Source organism: Homo sapiens, chromosome 1 (genome assembly GCF_000001405.40).
Source record: "Homo sapiens chromosome 1, GRCh38.p14 Primary Assembly".
Lineage (NCBI taxonomy): Eukaryota > Metazoa > Chordata > Mammalia > Primates > Hominidae > Homo > Homo sapiens.
In genome coordinates, this window is record NC_000001.11 from 11979167 (window position 1) to 11996840 (window position 17674).

At 50.1% G+C, this 17674-nt stretch overlaps 1 protein-coding gene across 8 annotated transcripts in view, besides 3 other annotated features; it reads left to right on the top strand.

Moving 5' to 3' along the window:
• Positions 894-1153: a silencer, noted in NCBI's record as "silent region_279". NCBI's record gives its function as "represses an Ori minimal core promoter by ATAC-STARR-seq in GM12878 lymphoblastoid cells {active_cell/tissue: GM12878}" and the evidence as "EXISTENCE:reporter gene assay evidence [ECO:0000049][PMID:35858748]".
• The window catches only part of MFN2 (mitofusin 2), a 33065-nt gene continuing 16668 nt past the window's right edge, over positions 1278-17674 (top strand). Inside the window, exons 1-7 of one of the 8 annotated variants that reach the window (XM_047436154.1) lie at positions 1278-1318; positions 2644-2687; positions 2804-2948; positions 3357-3424; positions 9999-10177; positions 13389-13524; positions 16990-17152. In XM_047436154.1, the coding sequence (XP_047292110.1) occupies positions 10003-10177; positions 13389-13524; positions 16990-17152 (474 nt within the window). In that variant the 5' untranslated portion in view covers positions 1278-1318; positions 2644-2687; positions 2804-2948; positions 3357-3424; positions 9999-10002. Of the gene's footprint in view, positions 1319-2643; positions 2688-2803; positions 2949-3356; positions 3425-9998; positions 10178-13025; positions 13298-13388; positions 13525-16989; positions 17153-17674 lie in introns of those variants that run through there. The other 7 variants (XM_047436149.1, XM_005263543.4, XM_005263548.4 and 4 more) reach the window with 7 other exon arrangements.
• Positions 1324-1563: a silencer, noted in NCBI's record as "silent region_280". NCBI's record gives its function as "represses an Ori minimal core promoter by ATAC-STARR-seq in GM12878 lymphoblastoid cells {active_cell/tissue: GM12878}" and the evidence as "EXISTENCE:reporter gene assay evidence [ECO:0000049][PMID:35858748]".
• Positions 3020-3119: an enhancer, noted in NCBI's record as "active region_183". NCBI's record gives its function as "activates an Ori minimal core promoter by ATAC-STARR-seq in GM12878 lymphoblastoid cells {active_cell/tissue: GM12878}" and the evidence as "EXISTENCE:reporter gene assay evidence [ECO:0000049][PMID:35858748]".

Sequence of the window (17674 nt, forward strand, 5' to 3'; positions counted from 1 at the left end):
ATTACTTGAGCCCAGGAGTTCGAGGCTGCAGTGAGCCGTGATTGCACCACTGCACTCCAGCTTGAGTGAGAGTGAGACTCTGGCTCAAAGATAGATTTTTTTTTTCTTTTTTGAGACGGAGTCTCTGTTGCCCAGGCTGGAGTGCAGTGGCATGATCTCGGCTCACTGCAACCTCCACCGCCCGTGTTCAAGCGATTCTCCTGCCTCTTCCTCCCGAGTGCACTATCATGCCTGGCTAATTTTTGTATTTTTAGTACAGACGGGGTTTCACCATGTTGGCCAGGCTGGTCTTGAACTCCCGATGCACCCGCCTCGCCCTCCTAAAATGCTGGAATTACAGGCTTGAGCCACCGCGCCCGGTCGATATTTTTTTTTCCTAAAAATTGAGATAGTTTAACAGCCTTTTTTGTCCTAAGTCTTATAGCGCATCTCCGTTTGCACTGGCTCAGGACTCGAGAGCCACACGTGGCTAGTGCCTACTGTTCTGGCGCGCTCAGGCTTGGAGCCTTCTCTGCGGAGGCCAAGTCCTGCAAGGGATCTGTTTGCTGCGGTTTCCTAGTAGTGTCTGCCGCATCACTGGGGCCCGGTGATCTGGGTAACCATGTGAGCTTGGGTAACCTCTCCTCTCCCTCTCCTGGGACTGCTGTGGACGTTAAATACAGCGGTGGATGTTAGAGACGCAGTTCAGTCACTGGCATTGATTCGCCGTTGTTGCTGCTCTTCTTTCCTCAAAGGCGACTGAAGGGCAGCAGGCCCATGCTCGCTTCTGTCTGCCCGATGAGTCACTTCACCCTAGGCCTGGCCCTCTAGAGAACACTCCTCTAAGATTACAGAATGCAAATCTGGATTCCAGAGCTGGCAGAGGCCCCAGGGTCAGGCTCTAGGACAACCGGCGAAAAAGCGGGAACCTCTACTCCACGCCCTTGGTTTTTCGCCCCTTGACAGCTTGAGGCTCCGCCCCGCTTTGCCCCGCCCCCCCAGCTCCGGCCGACGCCCACCGGAACTACAGCCCCCATGATGCAGTGGGAGTCCGAGCCTCTGCGTCGTCCGCTTGGGACGCGCCGGCGGAGGAGTGGCGCGCGGAGGAGTGGCGCGCTGAGACGCCGCTCGAAGCGCCGAGTCGCGGGGCAGCAGAGGCGTAAGGAGTAGGCGGGGCGAGCCGGCTGGGCTCAGGGTCCACCAGCTCACCCGGGTCGAGGGGCAATCTGAGGCGACTGGTGACGCGCTTATCCACTTCCCTCCTCCCGCCTCCCCCTGGGGTGGCGCTCGCTGGTGACGTAGTGAGTGTGATGGCCGCCGCGAGGCCGGGAAGGTGAAGGTGAGAGGGCGAGCAAGCCGGGGTGGCGGGGACTGGCCCGGCCCGGCCCGGCGAGTCCTGAGCAGCTCGGCGTGGGCCGACGGGATTCTGGGGCCACGGGGGTCTGGGATGCAGTCAAGCGGGGTCCCCACTCTCCGGCCTCGCCGCCGGGCCCTCCCCGGCCCTGAGAGGAGGGGGCGGGCCACGGGACCTGGGACTGGTCGGTGGGGTCCCCTGTAGCTTCTCATCGCCCCCGCCTTTCCACCCTTCACGGCCATGTTCTACCCCTGCCCCTTCTCTATTTTTCATCCTGTCTTCATTTTGCCAGCATTTACTCAGCACCTGATAGGTGTCCACGTTCACCGCGGGAGCGCCCTGCCATCCCCACTTTGGGCAGTTACTGCCTTCTCGTTCAGCCCTGTTTACTTATATGACTTCTCACCGGACTGTAAGGCCCTGGAGGGCAGGACTGTTTCTTATCCATTTCTAACGTGGCGCCTGACACACACAGAGAAGGCACACAGAAAATGTTGAATAAATAGCTGTTAAGACGCACGAAGGCAGAACTGCCCGTTACCCCCTCTCGTAATCCTTCATTGCCCTCTTTAAATTCTCAATCATCTCTCTCTCTTCTACCCAGAAAAGGGCTCTGGTTATCTCTTTTCTACCCAGAAAAGGGCTCTGGTTATCCGCCTCTGGTGTCCCAAGGTTTGGGGCTTGGGGGAGGAAGGCAGCTCAATGTAGTTAAAAAAGGAAGGAGGCCGGTCGCAGTGGATCACACCTGTAATCCCAGCACTTTGGGAGGCTGAGGCGGGCGGATCACCTGAGGTCAGGAGTTGGAGACCAGCCTGGCCAACATGGTGAAACCCCGTCTGTGCTAAAACCAAAAACTAGCCGGGCTTGCTGGCACACGCCTGTAATCCCATCTACTCAGGAGGCTGAGGCAGGAGAATCGCTTGAACCCGGGAGGCGGAGGTTGAGCCGAGATCGCGCTGCTGCACTCCAGGAGCTTTGGAGTCAAAGGGAGCTAATATTTCAGATCCCAGCTTAGACAAATCTTCAAGTATTCCAGCCCTCTGTCCCACAGAATAGAGAATTAAGTGAGATACTTTACAGTAGCTGAACACATTGGCTTTCAGTCAGTTCTTCTGTTCCTCAATAGTCAGCTGTTCCACAGTCCTCAAGCCCAGTTTTGTTCCTAGTTTTGCTCTGTCCTCTTCTCCCCTCTCTGGATGTACCTTTCCCAGGGCTCCTGCAGGGACCTCCGTGGTGCCTCAAACCCGCACATGGCGGAATACGTGTGCACAGTCAGGATTGGTCCCACACCTCTGCGTTTTTTTCCCCAGGGCACTTCCTCACATGCCAGCGCAACTCCCCAATACCTCAATGAGTAAGCTTCCCTCAGGGATGAGTTTGTTTGGCTTGAAACCTGATTAGACATGTTTTGTACACCAGTGTTTTTTTTTTTTGGACACCGGATCCATCTCCCTTTTCTTTTCTAATAAGTCAGGACTGGTGGAGTCAACACAGTCAATCAATAGCCAACCTCAACCTGAGACAGGACAGAAGAGAACTCAGAATCTTTTTGTCTTTTGGACTTCAGCCATGTCCATGATGCCTACCCTGTGAAGATCTCTCACCATCCAAAAAAGTAAGTAGTAGCTGTGACTTCTGGCACCCTGGATTTGAGCTGAGTGGACAGGGGTGTGCTCTCCTGGACCTCTGGTGGCAAGTCTCTTGAATGGCATCCTCTTTGTATAGAGCCACAGCTTTCTAACTTGTGTTGAAAAACTACCGTATCTTTTACTTCCGTGAAGGATTTCGCTGGTTGCTTAGAGAGCCTGTTTAAAAGTTGACAGTTCAGAAGTGGCTGGGATCTCTTGGGCTCCCTGAAGAGTTAGTCTCTGTCTCCCTCATTTGGTCTCTGCTGTGCTGGCTCTTCCCCATCTCGGCCCAGCACAGGTTGGCTCCTTGTCACTGCTCTTTTAAGACTCTGCTCTGTCCCCTTTACCCTGTATACTCTTTTTGTTTCGATTTCTCAGCTTCTCCTCTTTTCCAGTTGTGCCAGCAGACGATCCGTGGATCCATTTTATTTTCCCTGCTAGGAGTTGCTGTACATAACACTGGGTAAGGAGGTGGTGTGGATTCAGGGACTGTGCTTGGGATCCAAACACACCTTGCAGTGAATTTTGCTACTGCTGTCTCTACACCCAAGATACCTAATACTCCTCAACGAATAGCCTAGGTTGAGGCAAAGCTGTTGACCACCTTGGAGGGCTAATAGCAGTTTCCATTTAGAACTGGGTTCATTTCTGGTCTTAGGTTAATATTTATTAATACTGTGCCCTGGCACTTTTTAGGGGTAGGGGCAGGAGAGTACCAGAAAGAGTGGGCTTTTCCCTAAAGTGTGATCCTCGGGATTTTAAAAGCTATTACACAGAAGGGTTTTTTCATTGATTATATTTGTGAAATGCTGAATTCAACACAGTTAAACTAGTGTCTTTACAACAAGGCTTCCTTCCCAAACTCTTTTGCTGTGCTCACGTGCTCCACTGAGGAAAATGGTAGCATATGGTGTTTTTTGTTTGTTTGTTTGTTTTTTGTTTTTTTTGAGACAGAGTCTTGCTCTGTCACCCAGGCTGGAGTGCAGTGGCGCGATCTTGCAGTGGCGTGATCTTGGCTCACTGCAAGCTCTGCCTCCCAGGTTCACACTATCCTCCTGCCTCAGCCTCCCGAGTAGCTGTACTACAGGTGCATGCTGCCATGCCTGGCTAATTTTTTGTAGTTTTAGTAGAGATGGGGTTTCACCGTGTTAGCCAGGATGGTCTCGAACTCCTGACCTTGTGATCTACCCACCTCGGCCTCCCAGAGTGCTGGGATTACAGGCGTGAGCCACCGCGCCTGGCCTAGCATATGGTGTTTTACAAACTGATTCTACTATTGAACCTTCTTTACATGGGATATTGGGTGCAAGTCGAGTTCTGTGGACCACGCTTTGGGAAGTGCTGCCAGAAACTATCCAAAACAGTAATCTCCAGAGCACTTATGAGGCAGTCACAGCTTGAAGTGTGACGCTTAGTGTGTCACTGATGTTGGAGCTGGGCTCTCAGGCTATGCTTGCAGGATGGTCCCCACGTGCCTGTGGCAAGGTCTGTGGTGAAGCAGAGATTATCAAGGCTTTCCAGAGGCAGAGGAGGAACCCAGCTGCCCTGCATCACCCTGGAGGAGTAGGGAGTCAGCAGTCAAAGCCTTGAGATAATTGGGGAACACAGGATGTGATAAAAACCAGAAGTCTGTGATGTTGTTTGTTCTCTATGAGGCATCAGAGGAGGCTTCATGGAGCGGGTGACACTTGAGTTGGGTCTAGAAGGACAGTAGGAGTATGCCAAATGGGTGGAAAAGGAAGGAGGATTCCAGGCAGAAAGCAGCTCATGCAACACAGATGTGGAATCTCAGCTTGCAAGTTAGCAGAGCCAGATAAATCAGGCAGAGTTTGGAGGGGTTGACAGTAGGTTTTACGCCAGGGGTTTGGATGCAGCTGCAGGCTGGGTATTAGTGAGAGCAGGGAGGCTCCTGGACCGGCTGAACTCCCAGCAGACCTTGTAACCTGGAGCTCCCAAGCTTCTACTGGTGTACACGCTGTCGAGTCTTGCAGTTAGTGAGCACTAATGCTTTTGGTTTTATATCTCCTGGGCTTGCAAACATTGACCAGAACTTAAAAGCACCTGCTTCTGATGGCAGGGAACTTGCTTCCTGCAGCAAGTCACTTCTGGAGTGGGGTATCGCTGATCCTTCCCCAGCTGACCTGTTTATTTGATCTCCGTGATAGCGGGTAAGGGAGTGGTGTGTGTGGTGTGAGTTGGCGGAGTTGCCTCTGCCCTCCCTGAAGGCTGGGTGTTCATGGAGAGAGTCTTGTGATCTTGCTGGTAGAGTTTGTTGTTATTGTTTTATAACATGTAAAGCTGCCTTTAGCTCTTACTGTAGTGAAGCATGTTGCTTGCGTCATCAACTTTAGTCTTCTCACAGTTTAGATGGTATTGTGGTATTAGGATATTGGTTTTCATCCACGGATCCAGGCTCATAACTCCTATCCACAGCCCTTGTTATGGTTTTTTGATATAATGTTAGATGTGTTAGGCCTCAGGGGCAGGCCTCTGACCTTCTGCTCTCCTTCCACCCTAATCTTTCCCCACCTGATTGTGGGCCTTAAAACCCTCCCCTGAGAGGGGTGGACCCTGTATCCTGGGGGAAGGAATGCTGATGTCATGAAGCTTCCATAAAAATCCAAGAGGACAGAGTTCAGGGAGCTTGTGGATAGCTGAACACACGGAGGTTCCTAGAGAGAGGCCTGCTCAGGGAGGGCACAGAAACTACACGCCTCTTCCCCCATACCTCGCCCTAAGCGTCTCCTTATCTGTATCCTTTGCGATATCCCTCATAATAACCTGGTAAACGTAAGTAAGTGTTTCCCTGGGCTAGGTAGGCTGCTCCATCAAATTAATTGAACTCAAAGAGGGGGTCATGGGAACCCCAGCCTGAAGCCAGTCGGTGAGAAATTCTGGAGGCCCAGACTTGCAACTGGTATGTTTGAGGGGTGGTGGTGGAGAGGCGGGGCAGTCCTGGGGACTGAGCCCTCAACCTGTGGGATCTGACACTCTCTCCAGGTAGACAGCATGGGAACTGAATGAGAGGATACCCAGCTGCTGTCCGCTGGTTGGTGTGTGGGGAAGAAACCCCCTCACATTTGGTCACAGAAGTCTCTTGTGTTGATGATTATGGTGTGAGAGTAGAGAAAAAAGATAATTTGAGACAGTTTCTCTCTCCAGTAGGTGTCTTGTTTGTTGTACACATGAAGAAACCAAGGTTCTGTGATGAAATAACTTGCTTAAGTTTAAGCAGCCCAGAAATAATGTAGTCACAATTTGAACCCAGCTCTGCCTGATTACAAAACCTGTCATAGGTAGTGCTATATCATGCCCCATCCTTGATCCCTTTTTTTTTTTTTTTTTTTTTTTTTTTAAAGAGAGAGACTTCGCTCTGTCACCCAGGCTGGAGTACAGTGGCGAGATCTTGGCTCACTGCAAATTCTACCTCCCAGGTTCAAGTGATTCTCCTGCCTTGGCCTCTGGAGTAGCTGGGACTACAGGCATGCGCCACCACACCCAGCTAATTTTTTGTATTTTTCATAGAGACGGGGTTTCACCATGTTGGCTAGACTGGTCTTGAACTCCTGACCTCAGGTGAGCTGCCTGCCTCGGCCTCCCAAAGTGCTGGGATTACAGGCATGAGCCACCGTGCCTGACCCCTGATCCCTTTTCTATTCCTTTTGGATGGCTTTCCTCTTGTGCCTGCCACATCCCCTCTTTCTCGAACAGTCTGATCTGCCAGGCCATGGCAAGCCTCATTTCAGCGCACTCTCCTTTGCTGCTTTGGAAGAGTGAGAGTAGCATTTTCTTTGCAGTTTCCTTTCTCAGAGCTGTACTGTCTTTAAGCCCTGGACATATGGCTTCCATGCTGAGAAAACATCTCTCATAGCTGTGGCGTCATGCTGAGGAGGAATGTAGAAACGGAAGTGGGGTCACTTCCTTCCCTTGTCTCCAGAGGAATCATTAACATTGCACAAGAACTTGTTGGTTTGGGCACACATGTGGGTCCCTATCCCGCTTTGGGTCGGTCTGTCTTCTGCCCACTCTTTGGGATGGTTAGTTACTAAAAGTCCGTTTTGGCATTTGGTCTTCATGTACCTCTTCCGGGTGTTCTTTCTGCTTTTCAGGACCTTGTGCAACATACTTTGGCCCCATTTGGAAGTTTTTCACGTGTGCTTGCTGGGGAGCAACACCTCATTTCCAATCTAGAGAGAGTGAGCTTACTGCTGGGTGGAGAACTGAGCAGTAAGATTAGGGTGGCTGGGGAGGCAGTGACAGACCCAGGCACAGTCAGCTGTGCACACACCCCCTCATCCAGGAGGGCCTTTGCCCTTTGACTTCCTGGGATTGGTGGGCTCTGCTCAAGAAGTAGCTTTCGCCGTGGTGGGAACTCTGAGGGACCTGGCAGGGGTCCACTTTTGGGGTCGGAATTCCCAGTCTTACCCTGGGCACTCCTTCTGGTGTGTACGCCTCTTTTTGATCTTTTTTTTTTTTTTTTTGAGATGGAGTCTTGCTCTATTGCTCAGGCTGGAGTGCAATGGCGCGATCTTAGCTCACTGCAACTTCCAGCTCCCAGGTTCAAGCAATTCTCGTGCCTCAGCCTCCCGAGTAGCTGGGATTACAGGTGCCTGCCACCATGCCTGGCTAATTTTTGTATTTTTAGCAGAGAAGGGGTTTCACCATGTTGGCCAGGCTGGTCTCAAGTGATCCACCCGCCTGGGCCTCCCAAAGTGCAGGGATTATAGGTGTGAGCCACCATGCCCAGCCTCTTTTGACCTTTGACCAAAGACCTCTAGGACTTTGGAGTCAAGTCTCATGACCTCTAAAATGTTGTTATATGAAAAGATAAGCTACAAAGATATGTAGGATTGAGTGAGAGCAAGAGAGACAGTCACACAAAAATAGACTGTGATAATATGGCTGGGTACGGTGGCTCACGCCTGTATTCCCAGCACTTCGGGAGGCCGAAGCAGATGGATCACTTGAGGTCAGGAGTTTGAGACCAGCCTGGCCAACATGGTGAAGCCCTGTCTACGAAAAATAAAAAAATTAGCTGGGTGTGGTGGTACATGCCCGTACTCCAAGCTACTCAGGAGGCTGAGTGAGGCAGGAGGATCGCTTGAACCTGGGAGGTGGAGGTTGTAGTGAGCTGAGATTGCACCACTGCACCCAGCCTGGGTGACAAAAGTGAGACTCTGTCTCAAAAAAAAAAAAAAAATTATAATAAACAAAATGTTGGGCCGGGCGTGGTGGCTCATGCCTGTAATCCCAGCACTTTCGGAGGACAAGGTGGGTGGATCATTTGAGGTCAGGAGTTCAAGACCTACCTGGCCAACATGGTGAAACCCCACCTCTACTGAAAATACAAAAATTAGCCGGGCATGGTGGCGAGTGCCTGTAGTCCCAGTTGCTTGGGAGGCTGAGGCAGGAGAATAGCTTGAACTCGGGAGGTGGTGGTTGCAGTGAGCCGAGATCATGCCACAGCACTCCAGCCTGAGCGATAGAGCAAGACTCTGTCTCAGAAAAAAAAAAAAAAAATGTTGGCTGGGCATGGTGGCTCACGCCTTTAATCCCAGCACTTTAATCCCAACACTTTGGGAATCCAAAGTGAGAGGATCATTGGAGCCCAAGAGTTTGGGAGCAGCCTGGGCAACATAAGAAGACCCTGTCTCTACAAAAAATTTTAAAAAAATTAGTGGGGCGTGGTGGTGCATGCCTGTGGTCTCATGTACTCAGGAGGCTGAGGTGGGAGGATTGCTTGGACCCAAGAGGTTGAGGCTGCAGTGAGCTGTGATTGCGCCACTGCACTCCAGCCCAGGTAACAGCGAGATCTTGTCTCAAAATAAAAAATAAATAAGTAAATAAAATGTTAACATTGCTTATCACAAAATGATGGGGTTATGGGTTTTTTTCCCCTTCAGTTTCCAAATTTTCTGTAGCACACCTGTGCTATACTAAAATAGACCAATAGTTTTTGTGTGTGTGTGTGTGTGTGTGTGTTTTTCTTTGTTGAGACTTGGTCTGGCTCTGTCACCCAGGCTGGAGTACAGTGGTGCGATCTCGGCTCACTGCAACCTCCGCCTCCCAGGTTCAAGCAATTCTCTGCCTCAGCCTCCCAAGTAGCTGGGATTATAGGCGGCCACCACCACACCCGGCTATATTTTTTTGTATTTTTAGTAGAGACGGGGTTTCATCATGTTGGCCAGGCTGGTCTTGAACTCCTGACCTTGTGATCCACTTGCCTCAGCCTCCCAGAGTGCTGGGATTACAGGCATAACCCACCATGCCTGGCTGTTTTTTTTTTTTTTTTTAAATAGAGACGGGGTCCTACATTGCCTAGGCTTGTCTCGAACTCCAAAGTTCAAGTGATCTGCCTGCCTTGGCCTCTCAAAGTGCTGGGATTATAGGTATGAGCCACTGAACCTGGCCCCTAACCAATAGTGTTTTTATGTGGTCTTGCTCTGTCTCCCAGGCTAGAGTGCAGTGGACTGATCATAGGTCACTGCAGCCGAAACTCCTGGGCTCAAGTGACCCTCCCACCTCAGACTCCCAAGTAGCTAGGACTGCAGATGCATGCCACTGTGTCATGCTAATTTTGTTTTATTTTTTGAGACAAAATCTCGCCCTGTCACCCAGGCTGGAGTACAATGGCATGATCTTGGTTCATTGCAGCCTCCATCTCCCAGGTTCAAGTGATTCTCCTGTCTCAGCCTCCCAAGTAGCTGGGATTACAGGTGTGTGCCATTGGGTCTGGCTAATTACTGTATTTTTAGTAGAGACGGGGGTTTCACCATGTTGGCCAGGCTGGTCTTGAACTCCTGACCTCAGGTGATCCACCTGCCTCAACCTCCCAAAGTTCTGAGATTACAGGGGTGAGCCACCGCGCCCAGCCTGAGACACTGTTCTTATCTCACCGTCCTTTGTTCTAGTCCTGGAGGTTGCAGTGACCTGAGATCCCCATATTCTTGATTCTCCCCAAAGCATTCCGCCATCTCCCTAGCAGGATGTCCCGAGGTAGGTGTTGCTGGGTTCGCTCACGTTAGCTTCTCTTGCAGCGCAATGTCCCTGCTCTTCTCTCGATGCAACTCTATCGTCACAGTCAAGAAAAATAAGAGACACATGGCTGAGGTGAATGCATCCCCACTTAAGCACTTTGTCACTGCCAAGAAGAAGATCAATGGCATTTTTGAGCAGCTGGGGGCCTACATCCAGGAGAGCGCCACCTTCCTTGAAGGTAAGGGGGCACCGGCTCAGCCAGGCCCGCTCTTACCTGTTTAGATATTTAGCTAGTGGGATTTGCGGGTGGGGAGGTATATCTCTGCTCCCAGGGAAGTCATAACCAGATAGCCTTAGAAATGCTCTGCTCTTGAAATCATGTGGAATTGGAGTCTGGGGAGATGAGGCCAGGAAGACAAGGGAACTGCCATTTAGTAATTACTTTAAGAAGTCCACATGTTTTGTTTCATTTAATCATGAAAGATAGGTGAATCTTATCCCCATCTACAAGGCAAGCAAATTGAGGTTTGAGAGTTGTCCGATACCTTGTAAGTAATAGATCAGGGTTTTACCCAGGTGTCTCCAACTCCGGAGCCCACGTGTTTTCCTTTGCCTAGTTCTGGCTGCCATTAATACCAGGCACTGTTTGGGTGTCAGTGATCCCTGACCAGGGCGCCCTTTCTTTGATATTTTTAGATTGGTGACAGAACTATAGGAAACTCACGTCACCTATGCCTTTTCTACTAGTTACTAATTTGAGCCCAACCTCTAGTTCCTTGTCTATCAGCAGAGAAGGACTGGTTCCCAGGGCCCCGCTCGTCTGAGTGTCAACTCCAGCACTGGCTTCCTCAGGCTCCCTCTTTAGAAGGACACTTTGGCGCCAGGTCCTGAGATTGTCTGTGGAGACCCAGTAACTGAGTCTTATCTGCCCTTGGTTTCCTCACTTGTGAAAGTGGGGCTCAGGTGTGAACAGTGGTTTCAGATTCTAGTCTGCAGAACCCTAGAAGTTCAGTGGTGGTGCTTCGGGGGTTGGCCCCTGGCTCAGGGGGGCCACCTTCTTTCCATTCTGCTTTCAAATAGAGCAGCTTGGCTTCTCGTTGTTTTACATGCCAGGCTGCTACACGAGGCTCCCTTTGAAGAAAGAGACTGTCCAACTTCATGCCCTCATCTGTGCCCTGCCCTTTGCGTGGCGCTTGATGCCACAGAAGGTGTTTCCTAAATACTTGTTGAACTAAAACAAATCTGAATTTTAAAGTAGTATGATTGGTAGTTGAAATAATCCCAACTCATTGCCTGTTTATCAGTGGCTATGGTGTGCCAGCCGTGTGCCAGGTGCTGGGCATGCAGAGATGGGGTAGATCAGGCCGCTCCCCTCTGGGAGCCCAGACTAACCCTCTTGGAAGCTCTGAGTCACCTACTCAGATGATGTGGTGGACAAACACATGCGTAATGCAGGTGTTTATGTGATGCATGCTTTGATTTCTCTGTGTGTGAAAATATGAGGCCTCCCCTGTTGTTTAAATGGAAGGGAAAGAGCTGGAGTGATCCTGAGCTGTGCTGGGTCAGGGAAAGAATGGTTCCTGCCTGGGCACTGTTTCTAACGGGCAGGTAACAAGAGCTTGTTGGCCTGCTGGCTCTCGCTTTTAAGTGTAGTCACATGCTTGAGAGCCAGCTTCCTCCGAGGGACATTCCAAAGGCCATGCCCAGGTGCCCATATAAGGGAGGAATATTGATGCATCTGGGGCAGAGGTGACCGGTGGACATAGCGGGAGGGGAGATGGGGGTGTTGTTGACTTGGTCATTTCCTTTCATGGCGCTGGCTGTGGGGGAAATTCACTGGGCAGGCCCTTGTCATGCTTCAGATGCTTTCGGAGTGTTCTCAGGGCTGGGGCCTGTCAGCCTCATAGTTCCCAGGAGTGTGCAGAGGGGCTAAACACCCGTCTGTGTTCCAGCCAGCTGAAGCACCTGTCTGGTGCGAGTTCTAGACAGGACAGTGGTGGGATCTCACTCAGTTGCTCCTGTATGGAGTAATTTGTTGGCCATCTGCCTGTTAAGGGCACTGGGAAAAAGCAGTGCAGTGATCCAAAGGTCTGCTCACGTAGCAAACATTTGTGCACCTGCTGGGTGCTGGGGTCAGATAGTGTGGCCCTCATGAGGCAGATGACACAGACAGGTGAGCTGTACAGTTACCTTATGGTGAGGTGAGAGCTGAGATGGGAGAAGTGCAGGGTGCTGGGGCACACAGAGAAGGGGTCCGGGGTCCTGACTCAGGTTAGAGGGGTGGTCAGAGAAGGCTTCCTGGGGGCAGTGCTGTCTAAGCTAGACCGGAGGCCAAGTGAGAATGAGCCACGCTGCCCCAAGGCAGTGTAGTGTGTCAGTTCTTCAGAGAGTGGGGAGGGGGTTTGGGCAGCAGGGAATGGAGCCAGAGGGCCGAGGAAGCTGGTGAGTTTGGGGATATGGTGAGGGAGACCGTGAGGCAGCGGGTGGCAAGAGGCCAACAGGGCCAGGGCAGGGAGGGCCTCAAGAAGTGACATAGAGGCCGGGCGCGGTGGCTCACGCCTGTGATCCCAGCACTTTGGGAGGCCGAGGCGGGCGGATCACGAGGTCAGGAGATCGAGACCATCCCGGCTAAAACGGTGAAACCCTGTCTCTACTAAAAATACAAAAAATTAGCCGGGCGTAGTGGCGGGCGCCTGTAGTCCCAGCTACTTGGGAGGCTGAGGCAGGAGAATGGCGTGAACCCGGGAGGCGGAGCTTGCAGTGAGCCCAGATCCCGCCACTGCACTCCAGCCTGGGCGACAGAGCGAGACTCCGTCTCAAAAAAAAAAAAAAAAAAAAAAAAAAAAAGAAGTGACATAGAGTGGTTAAGAGCCTGGACTCCAGAGCCAGGCTGCCTAATTCAAATCATAGCTCTGCCTTTTACTAACTCCGGAGCCATGTTAATAAAGAGGACCAAAGGAGAGAATGAATTTGAAAAGTGAAAGGAACAGTGCCTGGCATGTGGTAAGAACTTCGTAAATATTTGTTAAGAAAAAATAAACAAGGAAGGCAGTTAACATTTAAGTATTCATCTTCTACCAGCCGCCATTCACAGCATTTGTGTTTCAATTCGTTTGATCCTCACGATGTTCTCATGAAGTAGATAATGTAGTTATCTCCGTTTTGTGCTTAAGGAAACTAAGACCCAGAAAGGTTCTTTTGCTTGAGGCCACAGAGCTAGAAAGTGGTAAGAACCAGCTTCAGAACCAGGCAGTGTTGCTCCTGAGCCATCTTCTTAACCACCACACCGTGGGGCCACCATAGAGGATCTGGAGCTCAGCCTGTCGGCTGCAGGGTGCCAGAGGTGGACTCGTTTAGGGTAAGCAGGGCCGGCGCTCTGGCCCTTCCAGACTTGGGACTGTGGAACTCCTCTGACCACGTGGTGACCCATTTTCAATCCCCACCTCCAGACACGTACAGGAATGCAGAACTGGACCCCGTTACCACAGAAGAACAGGTTCTGGACGTCAAAGGTTACCTATCCAAAGTGAGAGGCATCAGTGAGGTGCTGGCTCGGAGGCACATGAAAGTGGCTTTTTTTGGCCGGTAAGTCCTTGAGGCACCCACCCTTTCTTTCTTCCTGGCTAGGAGGGAGGGAGGCACTTTGTGCAAGGTCACAGAACGTTCCAGGCAGGGACATGCTTCAGAATTCATTGCTTTCCTCTTAATTTATATTTTATTTATTTATTTGATTTTTGAGACAGGGTTCTCTGTCACCCAGGCTGGAAGCTCATTACAGCCTCGACCTCCCTGGGCTCAGGTGATCCTCCCACCTGAGCCTCCTGAGCAGCTGGGACTGCAGGTGCATGCCATCAAGCCTGACTTTTTTTTTTTTATTTTCTAATTAAGGTTAAAGGCATATAATATAAAATTTACCACCTTAACCATTTTAAGCATACAATTCACTAGTAGGTATATTTGCAACCAGTCTCAAGAGCTTTTTCATCTTGCAGAACTGAAGCTTGTATTATAGCCATTAAACAATAACTCCCTGTCCCACATGTCCCTTGCCCTGGCCACCACCATTCTACTTTCTGTCCCTATGAATTTGACTATTCTAGATGTCTCACGTAAGTGGAATCATACAGTATTTGTTTTTTTTTCTCCATTCATAAAACTTTTATTCCACTTACATGAATTTAATACACGTGTTCTTAACAATTGTGCTTGTATTGTTCATGAAAATTTCGTAAGACATTAAACAAAGCTAGCCATCATCTCAAGTTATTTCCCTGTTAACTATTTTTACAGTGCATGCATGTTAGGCAAGCATCAAAAAAAAATCACAAAAGCAAAGAATCTAAAAATATGCCGGGCATGGTGGCTCACACCTGTAATCCCAGCACTTTGGGAGGCCGAGGCAGGTGGATCACGAGGTCAGGAGATCGAGACCATCCTGTCTAACACAGTGAAACCCCATCTCTACTAAAAATACAAAAAATTAGCCGGGTGAGGTGGCGGGCGCCTGTAGTCCCAGCTACTTGGGAGGCTAGGGCAGGAGAATGGTGTGAACCCCAGGGGGCGGAGCCTGCAGTGAGCCGAGATCGGGCCACTGCACTCCAGCCTGGGCGACAGTGAGACTCCATCTCAAAAAAAAAAAAAAAAATCTAAAAATAAGTTAAATACGTGTTTTTTTTGTTTTGTTTTACTGCTAGCTTGATATACATGAAGTATTCATTTTTCCTGCATCTTTACTTTTACATTTGTTCTTAGGTTGCCTGAAACATTTTAAATACAAATAAAATGAGTGTAGCAAAAATAATGAAAGCTAACAGCAGATAACTTTACAAATAATGGAGTGTGAACCATTTCTGCCCTTATCCAGATTGAAATGGGTCACAACTTTGTTTAAAGGAACACTTCCACAGCTGTAGTCAAAGGTGTGCACATTGAGATTGAGTATTCCACAGACACACATGGTTTAACATGTGATAACCATGGGGTATCTGTTTCTACCACAGCCTTGTAAGTGCTCCAAACCTTAAAGTACCCACATTTACTATACCTGTGACTGGAACCAATGATCCTTTTTATTCCCCACCAGGACAAACCAATATGTAGGCAGTTTTCTTTGCTTTGACATGGAAGCAGTTTTAACACTGGCCCTTGTGAAGCCACAATGTACCTAAAGTACTAGGCCAAACATTTATAACTTGTATAATGACCAGGCACGGTGGCTCACGCCTGTAATCCCAGCACTTTGGGAGGCCAAGGCAGGCAGATCACAAGGTCAGGAGATTGAGACCATCCTGGCTAACACGGTGAAACCCCATCTCTACTAAAAATACAAAAAAAATTAGCTGGGTGTGGTGGCGGGCGCCTGTAGTCCCAGCTACTTGGGAGGCTGAGGCAGGAGAATGGCATGAACCCAGGAGGTGGAGGTTGCAGTGAGTCAAGATCGCGCCACTGCACTCCAGCCTAGGTGACGGAGTGAGACTCCGTCTCAAAAAAAAAAAATCTAATACAAGAAAAAAGGCATCTAGACAGATTGTATGCTAGGCACACAGTGGTAGCCTGGGGAATAGGCACTGTGCCTAGAGTCTTGACCCTGATGAACTGTAACCTCAGGTGTGGTCCTCTACTCCTCTGAACTATCATTTCTTCATCCTCACCTGGGAGGTATGACCCCCTACTTAGGTGAGCTAGTGGGCTTCCTGTCTCACTGGGTGCAGGTAAGGTCATTGTAGTTCTGCTCTAGTGATATGGCTGAGAAACTTCAACTCAGAATGAGAAACACTGTGTTTAGCACAGGTTGAAAGCTCTGAGACTCAGAGCAGATGAGTCTGCTGAGCAGAGCTATTCTCAAGAAGCAGAAATGGTGGGGTGCAGTGGTTCACACCTGTAATCTCAGCACTGGGAGGCTGAGGCAGGAGAATTGCTTGAGCCCAGGAGTTTGAGACCAGCCTGAGCAACATGGCAAGACCCCATCTCTACCAAAAATTTAAAAATTAGCTGGGCGTGGTCGCAGCTATAGTCTATATATAGGTGGTACCTATAGTCTAAGCTACTTGGGAGGCTGAGGTGGGAGGATCATTGAGCCCTGATGGTCGAGGCTGCAGTGAGCTATATTCATGCCACACGCTACTGCACTCCAGCTTGGGCGAGAAAGCAAAATCCCATATCAAAAAAAACAAACAACAACAACAACAACAAAAAACCCCACCAGAATACATGAAAGGGGTGTGATAGGTAAGAATGAGAAAGTAGGCTGGGCATGGTGGCTCATGCCTGTAATCCCAGCACTTTGGGAGGTTGAAGCAGGCAAATCACCTGAGGTCAGGAGTTCGCGACCAGTCTGGCCAACATGGTGAAACCCTGTCTCTACTCAAAATACAAAAATTAGCCGGGCATGGTGGCACATGCCTGTAGTCCCAGCTACTTGGGAGGCTGAGGCAGGAGAATTGCTTGAACTCAGGAGGCAGAGGTTGCGATGAGCTGAGATCGTGCCACTGCACTCCAGCCTGGGCGACAGAGTGAGACTCTGTCTCAAATAACAATAAAAAAAAAAAGAATGAGAAAGTAACCTTCCCTTTAGCCTGGCAGTTGTCAGCTGGGACTCACAAGGTGGAGCTTCATGTGTAAGGAGGAGCGTGATGGGAGAAAAGCAGCGAAACATGCCCTGTGTAGGAAACACTGGGGTCATTTAGACTGAGGAAGACACTCTGGGGGTTAGTCGGTGTTTCAGGTAGGCCTGAATTAAACTTTGGAGACAGACAGACAGTCTCTATAAGTGTTGCTGAGGGTGGCTGTGTGATTCAAGGGGCAGACAGCACGCAGTGAGCCTCTTGTAGATTGATCTGAAATGATGAACCAGGGGCATGTCAGAGGTTTGGGCCTGGGGGTGTTTATTCATTTTAATAAACAGTGCCTACTCTTTGTCTCTCAGCACTGTCTGGGCACTGGCAACATTGCACTGAATAGGGCTTTGGCCTTCCAGGCTGGTATCTGCGTTGTGAAAGTAATTCAGGTCAGATACTGGTGGCTTTGCTGACAGCTGTTACTTCCTTCTAGGACGAGCAATGGGAAGAGCACCGTGATCAATGCCATGCTCTGGGACAAAGTTCTGCCCTCTGGGATTGGCCACACCACCAATTGCTTCCTGCGGGTAGAGGGCACAGATGGCCATGAGGCCTTTCTCCTTACCGAGGGCTCAGAGGAAAAGAGGAGTGCCAAGGTGAGGGTGCCAGGCTGGCTGTCAGCCCTGTGCCTGCTGGGGGAGCAAGTCCTCCGTTGTGACACGGCTGACCTCACCTCTAGGGAGGGGGCAGCACCACCCTGTGGAGGTGAATGGGAGACCCTATTTTAGATGAACTTTTTGAAGGATGTAAGAGCTTTTGGGGGCTGGCGGAGGTGGTTTTCAGAAACGTGGATCACCAAGAATGAGGACCCTGCTGTTCCTCATACAGCTCTGAGTGGCCACTGACCTCTCTTCACTAATTAAGGAAGACAGTATGTGCTGTGTTCTTCCTTGGGATATTGCCAGAGAGGAATTCCTGCATTTGCTGTGTGTCTCTGACCTATCAGTCAGGGACCGACACTCTGAGTTTTCTGAGAGGCAGCTGCATTCTTGTTTGGGGCCAGATGCTCAATTTGCTTCATAAAGAATCAATTGGTCGGGCACGGTGGCTCACGCCTGTAATCCCAGCACTTTGGGAGGCCGAGGTGGATGGATCATTTGAGGTCAGGAGTTCAAGAC